Source organism: Homo sapiens, chromosome 9, assembly GCF_000001405.40.
Source record: "Homo sapiens chromosome 9, GRCh38.p14 Primary Assembly".
In the NCBI taxonomy this organism is placed as follows: domain Eukaryota; kingdom Metazoa; phylum Chordata; class Mammalia; order Primates; family Hominidae; genus Homo; species Homo sapiens.
This window is the reverse complement of record NC_000009.12, coordinates 71,880,830-71,897,518: the sequence shown is the minus strand read 5'-3', so window position 1 is coordinate 71,897,518 and position 16,689 is coordinate 71,880,830. Positions and strand designations below refer to the sequence as shown.

The 16,689-nt window shown below is 38.2% G+C and overlaps 1 protein-coding gene across 8 annotated transcripts in view; it reads left to right on the top strand.

Moving 5' to 3' along the window:
- Nucleotides 1-16,689, top strand: part of ABHD17B (abhydrolase domain containing 17B, depalmitoylase) — a 48,742-nt gene that overhangs the window by 13,675 nt on the left and 18,378 nt on the right. The window contains exon 1 of one of the 8 annotated variants that reach the window (XM_017014789.3): nt 11,110-11,259. The exons of 6 other annotated variants lie outside the window; for them this stretch is intronic. The gene's annotated coding sequence lies outside the window, so the exon portion shown is untranslated. Of the gene's footprint in view, nt 1-11,109; nt 11,260-14,411; nt 14,501-16,689 lie in introns of those variants that run through there. One more of the 8 variants, XM_047423446.1, reaches the window with a different exon arrangement.

Here is a 16,689-nt window from a genome sequence, read left to right as displayed (position 1 = left end):
TTTGAGACAGGGTCTTCCCCTGTTGCCCAGGCTGGATTGCAGTGGCACGATCATGGCTCACTGTAGCCTCGACTCCTGGGCTCAGGTACTCCTCCCACTTCAGACTCCTGAGTAGCTGGGACCACAGGCGTGTGCCACCACACCCAGCTAATTTTTATTTTTTGTACACACTATGTTGCCCAAGCTGGTCTTGAACTCAGGCTCAAGTGATCCTTCCACCTTGGCCTCCCAAAGTGCTGGGATGAGCCACTGAGCGTGGCCTGCAGAATGACTTTATATCTCGTGTAGGGCAAGGTTACAAGAAGTTTAATGATATGGAGTGGTTGAAACCCTCTAAGCCAACTGTTATTAATTAGTTTTATAGGTTATTCTTGGAGCTGCCACTTCTGTAACTTTTCTTGGTTAATCTTTAGGTAAAAAGGGGACAGATTGATTTATTAGCCATTAGTTGGCACCTAAAATTCTTTCTAGTTATAAATTCATGTGTCTCCAATGAGAGACCTAAACATTTTCTTATTGTTCTGTACTTCCTCTTGGGCACCCACCACTGAACATCTTAACCCTTATTCTAAGAGGTTTTGTATATAATCAGCCCCAGGGCTGCTAGAAGAGAGAAATGACATTTCCTAACCAAATTCAGCTTCTTCAGCTCAGAAAAAAGGATCTTTTTTGTAACAACATGAAAACCTATACAGGGGTTTAATCAATTTTCTCTATGTCCATTTATCCCATTTTCCCTTTTAATTCTGTCATTTGCCTTTGAAAAGGTGAGGAGAGGGACACTCCTATGTCTTGAAGAAGGTATATATATATATGTGTGTGTGTGTGTGTGTGTGTTTTGGTAGAAGATAGAACTGTATATATACATAGACCCCCTGTTTATTTGCTTGACTTTGTAATAACCATCAGAGGACTTTTTAAACAGCATTTCCACTAGGAAAAGCTGAAGCCTTATGCTACAAATTTGGCATCTTTTTTATTCGCAGGCTGAAATTCTAACCCTCCTCCTTCACCAGTATCTCTAAGTTACCAAGAACTCAAGATATTTTTTAGAAGTTTGATATCTTGACCAAGTTCTCTTGAACCCCCACTGGATAGGTGACAGAACTAGGGATATTCCTTAATGCCCGTATGTAGACATATTTTCAGGGCAGGGATAAGAAGTCTGCTACTACATTTGTAGTCTGCAATTTTATGCAATTCTAAAAGATAAAAAAAGAAATTGAAGTCAGGAGTACAATGTAGAAATTCCTATCTACAGCTGAGAATGTTAATCATATAGAAGTGAAGTTGGGGACAGAATGAGCATTCACTGAATCAAGATATGAGTAGATTAAGATTCAGCTTGGTTTATTTTGTAACAAATGTCTTACACAGCACTGGAAATATCCATCTTAACCACAGATGAGATAGGTGCAAAAAGGAAGGGTTCTTTTAGCTTTCTGAATAGAAATTAAGATATTATAGCTGTTCTAGATTGGGTGAGTGGTAAAGCCTGAGAAGCTTAAAATGAAAATGTAATATATCTTAAGAACCTCCAGAGTTTTGAGAAAGTAGTTTTCAAGTCAGTCTGTTATTAAATATTTTGGACCTTTTGTCCCAAAATTTTGCATGTAGTTTCAGGAGTTTTCCATGAACCACAGCTCTAAATAGTCCTGTTGCATTCCAAAGTAATTTTTAGGCTTGACCCCAAGCTGTTGGCACATTAAGTGATTTTGCATGGAATTGATTAAATAGTACCTAGCTCCGAACCATCCAAATAAGGGTTTGTCCAAAGTCAGGTCTGAGAGCAATATACAGTATAATGTTATCCTGAGACATTGACATTTTCTGGTAGAAGATATTAATAAGAAAGTTAACTAAGTATTAGAACATTGACAGATTGGTGTTTCAGAGGCTGAACAGCTTGATGCATTCTTCAAATTGCAGACTTTACAAAGTAAGGTAATGTAGTACTTCTCAACTTTAAAAATCTATACTGGGTCATAGCCTCCTTTTTCCATACTGGTATTCTACAGAAGGCAGAAGAATCTTGAGAGTAAGTTGCAAAGACAGATAATTCAGCCTGAAACACAATTATATACCCTATTTGGCCAGGACATAGTCTTTAGGCAAGTAAGTACTGGTCTAGTCAAATTCCTTAAGAAGTTATAACTTCTTGGCTTCCAGGTCTAAGAACACTTCCTGATGACTGCTGAATATGAAACCTGGCTTTACCATTTACTAACACTGTGGTCTTGCATAAGTTAAACTTATCTATGTTTCTGTTTCCTCATCTGTAAATGGGGTGGGAGGAGGGAGGAAAAAATAATATCTATCTCATAGGATTGTTAAAGCACTTGGAGCAAGACCTAGTAAGTGCTGCATAAGTGTGTTTTGGTAAATTAACACTAGCCTGGCTTTTCTAACCTAGCAAAGTTTTAAACCTGAAAGTTTGGATTTGCCAGTCAATAATAATACTGTTTGATTTGTTTTGACAAAATTCAGCTCAGCCAGCAGTGGCTTTTGAGTGATTTCTGTGTGGCAGCCATTGCTAGGTGTAGGTATACTTGAATTTAAGTATGTGCAGTGGGGAGGGGTATGTTATATGGTTCAAAACTAATAAGGACAAACATGACCTTATAGTTAGTAAATGATTTATGAAATGGTTCATTTGATTAATTGTACAATCAAAAGAAACTTTTTTTTTTTAGGAGACGTGTTCTTGCTTTGTCACCTAGACTGGTAGTGCCATGGTGTGATCATAGCTTACTGCAGCTTCAAATTTCTGGGCTCAAGTATTCTCCTACCTCAGCCACCCAAGTAGCTGGCATGAGCCACCACACCTGGCTAAAATGAACATTTTTAAGCCCAAGAAGTCTAGTTCCTTTTGAAATAAGACTTTCTGGGCCCTTTGTATACATTTCCATGCTTTTAGAAGGTAGCTTTTAATAATATGTACAGACTGCAATTTAATTTTTTAGTAATAATGCCCCAAGTGCTAAAGATAAAACTTCTAAAAATTTTGGCAGCTGGGTGTCGTGGCGGGGCACCTGTAATTCCAGCTACTTGAGAGGCTGAGGCAGAGCCTACTTGAACCCAGGAGGCAGAGGTTGCAGTGAGCCCAAATGGTGCCACTGCACTCCAGCCTGGGCAACAGACTGAGACACCATCTTTAAAAAATCTAAAAAATTTGAAATTTAATGTATTTATTACCTTAATCCAGTTTTATATGTATACACAAATTGGTTATAGTATCTATTTTGTTACCAACTGATAAATAAGAAATAAGTCAAACATCAGTAGATGAAAGGACAAGCAAAATGTGCATTATATTGTGAAATATATATTTGATCTTCATTCTTGTGTTGTGTCATACAACTCCAACAATCCTTAGAATCTCCAAAGTGAAGTATCCTTTTTTTTTTTTTTTTTTTTTTTTTTTTTTTTTTGAGATAGAGTCTCGCTCTGTCGCCCAGGCTGGAGTGCAGTGGTGCGATCTCAGCTCGCTGCAAGCGCTGTCCTGGGTTCACACCATTCTCTTGCCTCAGCCTCCCGAGTAGCTGGGACTACAGGTGCCCGCCACCACACCCAGCTAATTTTTTTGTATTTTTATTAGAGACAGGGTTTCACCATGTTAGCCAGGATGATCTCCATCTCCTGACCTTGTGATCCACCCGCCTTGGCCTACCAAAGTGCTGGGATTACAGGCGTGAGCCACCGCGCCCGGCCAGTGAAGTATCTTTGTATGCTAACAAGTTGACTGAAAGCCATGCACCTCTAGGTAGCTATTGGATGGATGTTAGTTACCCAGAAACAGGCAGGATTAGAGGGTTGGGATTTACAGTCCTGCCTGTTAATCTCTGGGTAGGAGAGAGGGCGTGAAGGTTAAGTTGATACCAACAGCCAGTGATTTAATCAATCATTGCCTACTTAACAAAGCTTCCATAAAAATCCAAAAGGACTGGATTCAGAAAGCTTCCAGATGGCTGAGCACATGGAGGGTGGCATCCCCTTCCTACATGCCTTGCCCTGTGCATCTCTTCAACTGTATCCTTTGTAATATCCTTTATAATAAACTGGTAAATCTGTCTCCCTGAGTTCTGTGCGTCGCTCTAACACATTAATCAGACTGGAGTAAGAGGTTGTGGGAACCCCAATTTATAGCCAGTTAGTCAGAAGCATAGGTAAAACAACCTGGGGCTTTAGATTGGGATTGGAAGTGGGGAGCCCTCAACCTGTGGGATGTGACACTGTCTCCAGGTAGATAATGTTGGAATTGAACTGGGTGGGAGGACACCCACCTGGTGTCCACTGCAGAAGCGATTGCTTGCATTGGGGGAAATCTCTCATACATCTGGTCACAGAAGTATTCTGGTGATTGTTGTGGTGTGAGTGCAAAGGACAAAATAGTTTGTTTTAGGTACAATGGAATATTTTTCAGCCTTGAAAAGGAAGGGAAATTCTAAGACATGCTACAATGAAATAAGCCTGTCACAAAAGGACAAATATTGTATAATTCCACTTGTATGAGGTACTTAGAATAGTCAAATTCATAGAGACAAAATGGTGGTTGCCAGAGGCTGGCAGGAGAAGAAAATGATGTTATTGTTTAGTGGGTATAGAGTTACAGTTGGGGAAGATGAAAAATAAAATCTGGTGATAATTGCACAATAATGTGGATGTATTTAATGCCATGGAACTGTACACTTAAAATAGTAACTTTTATCTATATTTTACCATAATTTAAAAAACACAACATTATTTCCCTACAGTGACCAAGATACAAAAACCACTCATTTTGGAAAACAGCTGTAGGAAATGACAACCTCCCTTACTCTCTCACCTCTGCACTTCCCCCACCTTATCACCTGCCTTCCCCCCCCCAAATTAATTTGCTAAATGTAAATTTATGTTTATAAATTTTATATTAACTAAATTTTGGTAAATATAGTGTACTTGTTTAGGAGCTTTGTGTTTTTTGTTTGTTTGTTTTTGTTTTTTTTTGAGAGGGAGTCTCACTCTGTCACCCAGGCTGGAGTGCAGTGGCGTGATCTCCTCTCACTGCAAGCTCCACCTCCCGGGTTCATGCCATTCTCCTGCCTCAGCCTCCCAAGTAGCTGGGACTACAGGCGCCCGCCACCACGCCTGGCTAATTTTTTTGTATTTTTAGTAGAGATGAGGTTTCACCGTGTTAGCCAGGATGGTCTCGATCTCCTGACCTCGTGATTCGCCCACCTCGACCTCCCAAAGTGCTGGGATTACAGGTGTGAGTCACTGCGCCTGGCCAGGAGCTTTGTTTTTAGTAGCCGGAACAACTTTGAAAACCTGAAGTTTTTCAAATTATAAATTTCTTCATTCTTTTTATATACTATGGAAGATTGTATCTGAAGCTTATGAGAACATCTTAGTTACAAAGTTTTAGAACTAGAAGAAACCTTATTATCAGTTTATGCTTTTCACTTTGTAGAAAAGGAAAATGAGGTATAAAGAGATTGACTTCCCTAAAGTCACCAGCTTTTTAATAGTAAAACTAGAACTGAAAGCCATGGCTCTTTTGATTCTTAGTGCTCTTTGGACTACACTGTGCTATCGTGCTGTCCAAAGGCTTCGTTGGCATCTCACTAGAAGAATTTACTGGGTAAAATTTTTAATTACATTATTGGACCAAGAGTTAAAGCTGTACTATGTTCTCGAATATTTGTAAAGTATCTTCTGGTCCCATTGAAGAGATAAACAGAACATACTTGTTTGCCCTATAGACAGGGTATGAGTGTGTGTGAGAGAGAGAGTGCGTATGTGTGTGTTTGTGAGAGACAGACTGACACTGACTACTCTATCTCCAAAATCCTCTTTATTCTAGCAGTTACAGGAGTTCCAATTCTGCAGTCAGTCCTATTCAGACTATAGGCCTTCTGGGTCAATAGGCTTACACAAATATAAAGGAAACCCAATTTAGTTCTTTGCTTAGAAATATGAACAGTCAAGAAAGAAGCATTCCAACAGCATGAAACCCAAGATGAACAAGCATTACCTGAAAAACACAAATGAAGAGAACAAAAAGAAAAGCTTTATAGATATAGTGGATAGTCCTAGGATTCCTAAAAAGGAATTCCACATGGAACAGAGAAGATGGAGAGGAAATAGAAGAAAAATTATCTGAGCTAAGTAAAGACTCGGGGCTTTAGATCAAATGGACCCATTAAGTATAAAACAAAATGGACAAACAATAACACACATTTAGATAATAGGCTTATGAAATTTCAGAGCTAAGGATGTAGGGAAATCTCATAAATATTTTTGAGAGATGAGAATCACTTTTAAAAAATCAGATTGGTAGACACTTTTATTACTTGGTACTAGAAAATGTGGACCAATGATTTAAATTTCGAGGAGAATTTTAAGAAACAACCTATAATTCTGAAGCAGACCTAGTTTGCTGTAAGTGTGGAAGTATACATAACAGTGTAGTTTACTTCGCCAGACCTTTGGGTAAGGGGGTGGGGGGTAGTGCTTGGGAGTTGTAGTACAGCAAAATCAAACAAAAAAATCTTACAAAAAGGAGCTTGAGATTCAGAATCAACAGAGGTATGTGATGAAAAGAAGTACTAGGTAGGCAGGCAACTGGGCTGTGAACTAACCCAGAACATAATTATTTCAAATTAAAACAGAAATCACTGGGGTCTAAACATGTCTTTAAGAACAACATGGATTTTGTTGAACAAATTCTAATAAATTGGAATATGTTAAATGTAATAAAAAGGCAAAAACTTCAGAAAATTAAAGCCTCTTCTGAAAGTCCAAATGTGAAGCAAACGAAAATGTGCCTTATTTTTGAACAGTGAGGTGTAATTGAGTATCAAGAATGTAAACACCTTGACACTTGGAATTTAGTGACATAAAATTGCTGTTTATTCTCTGAGTTTTACCATGCCCCTTGGATGGGCAGTGAATGACACTGTAAGTACTTTTTATTATCCAATTAATGAGAATCAACCAATAGATAAAAACTTAATAAATTGCAAATGATATAAAACTTAATGTGAAACTTAATTGTATAGTCAGCAATAATGGTATATGATTACATGGGGGAGCCAGAAGAAACTTCCTAAAGTTGATAGAATAAGAAATACAGGTTCAGCTATAATATCTAAAGTTATAACTAATACAAACTAAAATAAATCAGAATGAGCATAGAAGGTGGGAATTAGGGTAAATCTTCTCAGTCTTTCGTGTGTGTGTGTGTCTGTGTGACAGAGTCCAGCTCTGTCACCCAGGCTGGAATGCTGTGGCACAAACTTGGCTCACTGCAACCTCTGTCTCCTGGGCTCAAGCTATTCTCCTGTCTCAACCTCCCGACTAGCTGGGATTGCAGACATGCACCGTCACTCCCAGCTAATATTTATTTATTTATTTATTTATTTATTTATTTTTATTTTTAGTAGAAACAGGGTCTCACCATGTTGGCCAGGCTGGTCTTGAAACTCCTGACCTCAAGTGATCGACCTGCCTCTGCTTCCTAAAGTGCTGGGATTCCAGGTATGAGCTACCTTGCCCAGCCCGCTCAGTCTTTTATAATGAGGCTACACTGTGATAAGAAATAATGGATTTTTTTAAAAAATGAGTATGGTAGTAAGCACTAGAAGAATTAAAAACAAATGACCCAAAATTGTAATTTCTGAGAACAAGGCTGAGGTTTGGGTTGGGATTAGGGAAGAGACTAAAGAAGTTTTAAGTGTTTTTTTGTTTGTTTGTTTGTTTTGGTCATTTTTTGTTTTTTATCAGTTTTGTACATGTATGTGGTCAGGAAGCCAAATAATTCTACAAATTCCCAGGGGCATTTAGTTATTTTTGAATGATTCTTTTGGTGTTTACTTCCATGTCGCTAGATAACAGTATTATATTACTACTTCTTACATGTTGACATCCCACTTACAGTAGAGAGCATAGCTGTCCCCCACCAGTATCGCACAAATACGCTCCCAGATCCCCCAACTTCCCTGTGTAATTTGCCATATCAGTCTCTTTTAAGATATGTCTTTCAGATTAGTCTGATTCCTCAGAGGAGGTTTTCCCAATATAAACCTCTACTCTTATGAGTTGGAGACAGTATCTAGGGAACTTCATTTTTTGAAGTGGACTTTTAACCAATCCTAATTTTAGCCTGGCGAGGAGACTTTTAAAAAATAGTGTAACATGCGGTTTGATTTTTTTTTTTTTCTTTAGACGGAGTCTCGCACTGTCGTCCAGGCTGGAGTGCAGTGGTGCAATCTCGGCTCACTGCAGCCTGTACCTCCTAGGTTCAAGTGATTCACCTGCCTCAGCCTCCCGAGTAGCTATGATTACAGGCGCCTGCCACCACGCCTGGCTAATTTTTTTGTATTTTTGGTAGAGATGGAGTTTCACTATATTGGCCGGGCTGGTCTCGAACTCCTAACCTTGTGATCCGCCCGCCTCAGCCTCCCAAAGTGCTGTGATTACAGGCGTGAGACACTGCACCTGGCTGGTTTGTTTTTTTTTTTAAACTTTGTCTTGTAATACTTTCATAATAGCAATGTTATTTCTTAAAATATCAAATCCCTATTGTGGAACTTGACTAATATTTATTTGCATACAGTAGTAGTATTATCACCGTTTACGTTTTTGTCTTTTCACTGTAGCTCTAATATGTTTTACAGCAGTTTCAGTTGCCTAAAAAACAAAACCTTTGTTGTTGTTTGGTAAAGTTTTTTTAACTTTATTGAAACACCTTATTTTATTTACTGCTTGGTAAATAAGGGTTGTGTGGGTCCATGCTCATATGCTGTATTGACCTGTAAATGGTTTTATAAACTTTTTGTATAAACTCTTAGAAATAATCTTTTTTGTAACTCTTAGAAATTCAAACTGGGGTACCCATAATATGAACCTCTTTTTAAAAAAAGATTGTATTCATTATTTATAATCAATAATCCTTAAATTTTGTGAGATTTGTGACTACATTGACTAGATAATATTGAGGTACATATGGGTGTTCTATGGTATGAAAAATACTGAGTAGGTACTCACCTGAAAAGTTTCTCAGGGACTTATTTTACTTATAAACTAGGGAATAATGTGCATTGTGGAATGTTTCTGGAACAATGTAATATGACAGCTTTTCTATGAACTTTGAGTTTGAGGATAAGCATGATTTGGATTCTTAGAATAGAAATGCCAAAAGCTGATGATTAGGGAGAGAAAACATGTGTCTGTTCATGTCTAGCTTACGCTCAGCAACAGGTAAAGGTGTGACTTTTAAAAGCCCTGAGCTAATTGTACTTTCCAGTCACCAAAAGTTTTATAGGAATATGTGATACTAGCATATGCAAAAACCAACAACCTATTTTACTGCTCCATCAGTAAGACTTTGTTCACTTGTTAGGACATTGCTCTGGTGGATCATCAAGATTGTAAGTGTTTAGGATACTGTTTTGGACTATGTTCAGAAATTCATTAGCTAATAGTCACAAGTGTTTTTTACACTTTCTCATGGTTTACTTGCAACTTCAGCTTACAAGGAACCTCTCAAGAACATGAATCCTTTTGATTCATCAAACCGTGGATTAAAACATATAGATAGCCTAATTGAGTTGCACTGCTCATTTTTAATAAAATGGCTTTTATGTTAGAATTGGGTTAGAAATAAGTCTGTGTCATAAAGATAAAATTTTCCAGAATAGTCTTGTGTAGGCAATCTCACTTAGTTCTGTGTGTTTTATCAATGTTCAACAGAAAGATCTATGAGATTTACGTATATGTACTTTGATGGAAAAGCCAGGAAGGAAGGTGCTCTTTAGCATTTGAAGCTAGTATGAATTTAAAGCATGGAACTGTTTGTTCTGGATTGTCTGGGTTTCAAAGGTTTTCGTTCAGCACTGCCCATTAGGGCTTTCTGTAGTGAAAGAAATATTCATACTATGCTGTGTAACTTGTAGCCACAGTGGCTGGTGGGATTGAAGAAGTGAATATTTAATTTTAGGTAATTTAAATTTAAATAATCATATGTGGAGAGTGAGTGCTTAGCTAGTGCAGTGTCTAGCAGTATCAAGAAACTGAGGGAAAACAAAAGTAATAAAAAGCACTGCATTAAAATAAATAGGACTTCTGACCCAAATTAGTTTGCTTGGCACAGCTTATAGACTCTTTACCCTTAATTTTCATCTTCTACTATAATGTCATCATAGATCTAACATCTTCATTTCTGAACCTTACTAGCTTTTTTTTTACTAGGATAGTAAGTTCACAACTTACACTAGAACTGACACTATTTTGATGTCTCTGGTTGATGCCTCCTATCTTCACCTCAACTTTCTTTTTTCGTCTAACTCCAGTACTTTCCACCAGTGAGAAAGGACTCTTATTTGCACATTGCCCAGTACATTTTTTTTTCCATTTGAGAAACTCCTCTAAATTTTTCTAAACTCAAATTATTAAGGCGTTTGTTCAGTTTACCCCAACAAAACCCACACTTCTAAGGGTGTTTTCAAGTGACCCATTGGCACTGTTACACTCTATATCTAGAATCTTATTGGTATTTAAAAATTGCAACTTTACCTTAAAAGTACCAGACATGATTCTTTTTCAAAGAAGAGGTTTTGCAAAAATTTCTTCTTTTAATTCAAAATATTAAAACATTAATATTTTTAAATTTTTTCTCCGAGTTTAAAAACTCATGTAGCATGCAGTTCATCCAGTTTGTGTCTTCAAGCAGAGCTGACTTTTTCCTGCAAAGTCACCTGAATTTTGAGCCCTTTGATCTCACAGATGAAACTTGTTTCATCTGTGAACCCGTTTCATCCATGAAACCCTGTCTCTACAAAAAGTACGAATAATTAGCCAGACATGGTGGCACACACCTGTGGTCCCAGCTGCTCGGGAGGCTGAGGTAGGAGGATCGCTTGAGCCTGGGAGGCGGAGGGTGCAGTGAGCCGAGATCACGTCACTGCACTCCAGCCGGGGCAACAGAGTGTGACGAGCTTTGGTCCTGCATAAGGCATGCCCAGATAAGATAGAAAATGTTTTAAAACATTGTTACAACTAAGTACCTCCTGTTCAAGTTGTAGTTAGTGAGTTAGTGGATTTTTTTTTTTTTTTTTTGAGACAGGGTCTCCCTATGTTGCCCAGGCTGGTCTTGAACTCCTGGCCTCAAGAGATCCTCCTGACTCGGCCTCCCAAAGTGCTCAGATTACAGGCATGAGCCACTGTGCCTGGCCCAGGAAACTTTGATACTGTGTTTTGGATGCTTCATCTTCTTTCAAGGTGAATATTCAGCTTCTCTGTATGTACTAAACTCTGTAATGTGTATGGCTTTCTAAAAACCATAACACTCAGAGCTTAGAGTTTCACATGTAGCTATACTTTGAATACTACTACAGATTACACAGAATGATATTGCATCCCCAGAGTTATCCATAAATGGAGTAATTCATCTTGAATTTTAGACTATAGTTCTTAACATGAAATCTAATATATCAAAATTTAAATGGTTTATCACATACAGTGTACTGAGCATAGTTGTCAACATATCACACAAAATGAAGAAAGATATAAGCATTCTTTTAAATGTTTTCTCTAAACCTGCTTTTAAAGACTTTTAATGCTAGTTCAGTACAACAAAAATCTTAAACCTTATAATAATTAGTAGTAATATGAGTTGGTCTGCATTACCAAGAAACTATTACAAGGAGATCAAAAGGAGATTTTTTTTCCCCTAGTAAATTGTTATTATGTCAAAAATTGACAGGAGTCATGTCAGTAATTTCTTACGTTAGAAGAGAGGAAGGAGATACAGTAGGTCATTCTATTTAGGGACTTTTTTTTACATTAGTCTTCCTGTTTTGCTGAGAAAGAATCAGTTATTTATCTTTTTTCTTTGTCATTGAGGAGGAAAACGTTACCAGGAGAAGCAGATTCTTAAATTATTATTTCATACAATTTTAGGAAATTGCTCTTGCTGTAAGTGAAGAAATTGTTGAATGCCCTGCCAAAAGGAAAACCTTAATTTTCACAATGGGCCATCTGTTTAACATTGAGGTGACCCCCTTTTTTTTTTTTTTTTGGAGACAGAGTCTTGTTCTGTCACCCAGGCTGGAGTGCAGTGGTGCAATCTCGGCTCACTGTAACCTCTGCTTCCCGGGTTCAAGCCATTCTCCTGCCTCAGACTCCTGAGTAGCTGGGATGACAGGTGTACGCCTCCACGCCTGGCTAATTTTTATATTAATTATTATTATTTTTTTAGTAGAGATGGGGTTTCACCATGTTGGCCAGGCTGGTCTCGAACTCCTGACCTCAAGTGATCCTCCTGCCTTGGCCTCCCAAATTGCTGGGATTACAGTCATGAGCCACCGTTCCCGGCCTGACCTTTCATTTTGTGTATTTATTGCAAGAGGGGCAAGATTCCCTCCTCCCTGGAATAGGGTCCTTCTCTGTGTTTCATAACACATTGAGTGATTTGAGTAACTTGCAAGGCTTTTTCCACCTGCCCCCACTTAGGTTCATAGATTTTTATTTGACTGCTTCTCTTTTGCCCCCATATGAAAAAGATTCTGTTTTGCCCCCATATGAAAAACCTAAGTAATAGTAACAAAACATTTTTGCATTTTTTCTTGACATGTAAATTTAGTGAATTTCTTTCTTTTGTAGGAGCTTCTTGGGTGCAAAGAGTTGAATCAGTCTTAATAATTTACTAACTCATTCATTTAAGAAATATTAGAAACCCTACTATATGTCAAGTATTCTGCTTGATACTAGATGTCCAGTTGTAAGCAAGCAGATGTGATTGTTACCCTCTGGAATTTCTAATCTAGTTCATGGCGCATTATCACCATCAATCTATGAGCATAGGCCCTGCTCTTGTTTTACTTAATTTCCTTTTTTTTTTTTTTCCCTTCAACCTCCATCCCCATTACCCCTTTGGTAAGCATATACTCTGACATATGTACCCTTAGAAATGTATTTGTCCTCAAAGATAATGTTTATGTCTGTTTTGCATGTATGTTAATGATATTATAGATCTGTTCGTACCTTACTTTTTTCACCCAATACCATTATATTTAATCCCTAGTCATCAGTCTTTGCTTCTGACTGTGTTAATTTTCTATTATCTGCATCCAACACATGCTTACTCATTTCCCCAGTTATGGAACCTATATTGCATCTCAGGCCCTGACACAAATAATACTTCAGATACACTTAAAGGACCTGTGCAAGTATTTCTTTGTAGTACTTACCCAAGAGAGAGATTCTGGGTCATTGGTAAACACAATGGCTTACCAAGCAGTTTACAAAGATTTCCATTTTCCCCATTCTCACCAGCACTTGATAATACTCAGCTTTCTAATTTTTTCTTTTAGTTTTGATGTATTATTTTTTGATTTCTCTGATAGTTGGTGAGGTTGAGCCTTTTTTCATATACTTGTTAGCCATATGAATTGCCTATTCCTATCTTTTGCCCATTGTTCTTGAGTTACCCAGTTTTTTCTTGTTTTTGCTGAAGTTCCCTACATTTTAAATATTCTGACAGTTTGGGATGATGAATTCATCCAAAAAAGGACATTTATCTTTTCTCTTTCTTTTTTTTTTTGAGACAGAGTCTTGCTCTGTCACCCAAGCTGTAGTGCAATGATGCAATCTCGGCTCACTGCAACCTCTGCCTCCCAGGCTCAAGTGATTCTTCTGCCTCAGCCTCCCGAGTAGCTGGGATTACAGGCACGCGCCACCATGCCCAACTAATTTCTGTATTTTTAGTAGAGATGGGGTTTCACCATGTTGGCCAGGTTGGTCCTGAACTCCTGACCTCAGGTGATCCACCTGCCTTGTCCTCCCAAAGTGCTAGGATTACAGGCGTGAGCCACCACGGCTGCCCTGACATTTTTCATTTAAGAGAAATCCTTTATTTGAATGAAGCTAAATCTACCAATGTTTGTCTTTTGTGGATTGTGTAAAAATTAGTTTTGCTCTTTAAGTCTGTGATCTGCCTGGAATTTGCTTTCTGTATTCCATGATGTAGTGATCCAACCACTTTACCCATGTGGTAAGTTTTCCCAGCACAATCTACTAAAGAATCCATCCTTTCCTACTGCTTTGAGAAACCAGCTGTGTCAATCCCTAGTCCCATTCACATAGGGGTTTATTCATAAGCTCTGTTACTAGGTCTATTTGTTTCTGTACCAGCACCACTCTGTCTTTATTACTTGGACTTTGTGCAGTGTGTCTTAATATCTGGGAGGGAAAATTCCTATCTACCCCACAAATACATGTATATACCTTTGCTCTTTATAGACATTTTCTGGTAACTTCTTTATTAATATATAATTGACATACCATAACACTCAAATATTTAAGATACAACTCAATTTTTGTTTGTTTGTTTGTTTTGAGATGGAGTCTCGCCCTGTCGCCCAGGCTGGAGTGCAATGGCGCAATCTCAGCTCATGGCAACCTCCGCCTCCCAGGTTCAAACGATTCTCCTGCCTCAGCCTCTGAGTAGCTGGGATTACAGGTGTGTGCCACCATGCCTGGCTAATTTTTGCATTTTTAGTAGAGATAGGGTTTCACCATGTTGGTCATGCTGGTCTTGAACTCCTGACCTCGTGTTCTGCCCACATCGGCCTCCCAAAGTGCTGGGATTACTGGTGTGAACCACTGCGCCCGGCAATGTTTTTAATATATATATTCACAGAATTTTCACAGAATTGTGCAACAATCACCCAAATCAATTTTAGAACATTTTCATTACCCCAGAAAGAAACCTGTTATCCTTTAGTTATTATTCTCCATCCCTCCTGTTCTCCTCATCCCCATTTTATGGATATATATACTACCTTTTGTTTTGTTTTTGTTTTCTTGGTTTTTTTTTTTTTGAAATGGAATCTCAGTCTGTTGCCCAGGTTGGAGTGCAGTGGCGCGATCTCAGCTCACTGCAACCTCCGCCTCCCGAGTTCAAGCAATTCTCCTGCCTCAGCCTCCCAAGTAGCTGGGATTAAAGGCATGCACCACCACACCAGCTAATTTTTGTGTTTTTAGTAGAGGCGGGGTTTCACCATGTTGGCCAGGCTGGTCTTGAACTCCTGAACTCAGGGGATTCTCCCGCCTTGGCCTCCCAAAGTACTGGGATTACAGGCGTGAGCCTCTGCTGCGCCCAGCCTACATTTTGTTTATCCATTCATCAGCTGGTGTACATTTGGATTGCTTACGTTTTTCAGCTATTGTAAATAATGCTGCACATGCATGTACAAGTTTTTGTGTGGACATGGGTTTTGCTTTCTCTTGAGAGTAGAATTGCTTTGTCAAATGGCAACTCTTTAAGTTTTTGAGGAAATATCAGATTGTTTTCTAATGTGACTACCATTTTTCTTCCTATCAGCAGTGTATGAGGGTTCCAATTTCTCCACCTGCCAAATAACCTTTATTATTATGTCTTTTTGATTATAGCTATCTTAATGGAGATGAAGCTGTATCTCTTTGTGGTTTTGATTTCCATTTCCTTGATGACTGATGGTGTTAAGCATCTTTTCACATGCCCATTGGCCATTTGTATATCTTTTGGAGAAATGTCTATAAATCCCTTTGTCTATTAATTGGGTTGTCCTTTTATTGTTTTTTTTTTTCCTTTTTTTTTTGGTTTGTTTTTTGAGACGGGAGTCTTGCTCTGTTCCCCAGGGTGGAGTACAGTGGCGTGATCTCAGCTCACTACAACCTCCACCTCCCGTGTTCAAGTGATTCTTCTGCCTCAGCCTCCCGAGTAGCTGGGAATACAGGCACGTGCCACCATGCCCGGCTAATTTTTTGTATTTTTAGTAGAGGCAGGGTTTCACCATGTTAGCAGGATGGTCTCGATCTCCTGACCTCATGATCCGTCCGCCTCGGCCTTCCGAAGTGCTGGGATTACAGGCTTGAGCCACCGTGCCCAGCTGTCCTTTTAAAATTGTTGAATTGTAAAGGTTATTTGTATTTTCTCACATTCAGTAGGTTGTCCTTTCAGTATCCTTGTGTCTTTTGAAACATGAAAGTTTTTAATTTTGGAGTCTGATTTATCTATTTTTTTTTCTTTGTTACTTGTACTTTCAGTATCTTTTCTAAGGAAACATTTTATAACCCAAGGTCACAAAGATTTATGCCTATATTTTCTTTTGAGAACTTCATAGTTTAGATCTTACATTTAGTCTTTGACTCATTTTGAGTTGATTTTTGTATATGGTGTGAAGTAAGAGTAAAATTTCATTCTTTTGCATGTGGATATTATGTTGCCCTAGCACCATTTGTTGAAAACACTTCTTTCACCATTGAATTGTTTTGGCACTCTTGTCAAAAATCAACTGACCATAAATGTCAGGTTTATTTCTGGATTCTCAGTTCTATTCCTTAGATATATTTGTCCTTATGCCAATAGCATTCTGTCTTGATTACTGTTGCTTTATTATGAGTTTTGAAATTGGGAAGTGTGAATCCTCCAACTTAGGTTTTCTTTTCAAGATTGATTTGGCTATTCTGGGTTCCTTGAGGTTCTGTATGAATTCTCTGCATTTTGTTTTTCTTGATTATAAGTGGAGGAGTCTTTTTTCTTAGTTTTATTTTTTTATTTTCTATAGACCTTTATACTTTTATATAAATTTTATAATCACTTTTGAGTTCCTCAAATTTCTGCTGGAATTTTGATGGGAATTACCTTGAAATTTTCATTCTGGGAGA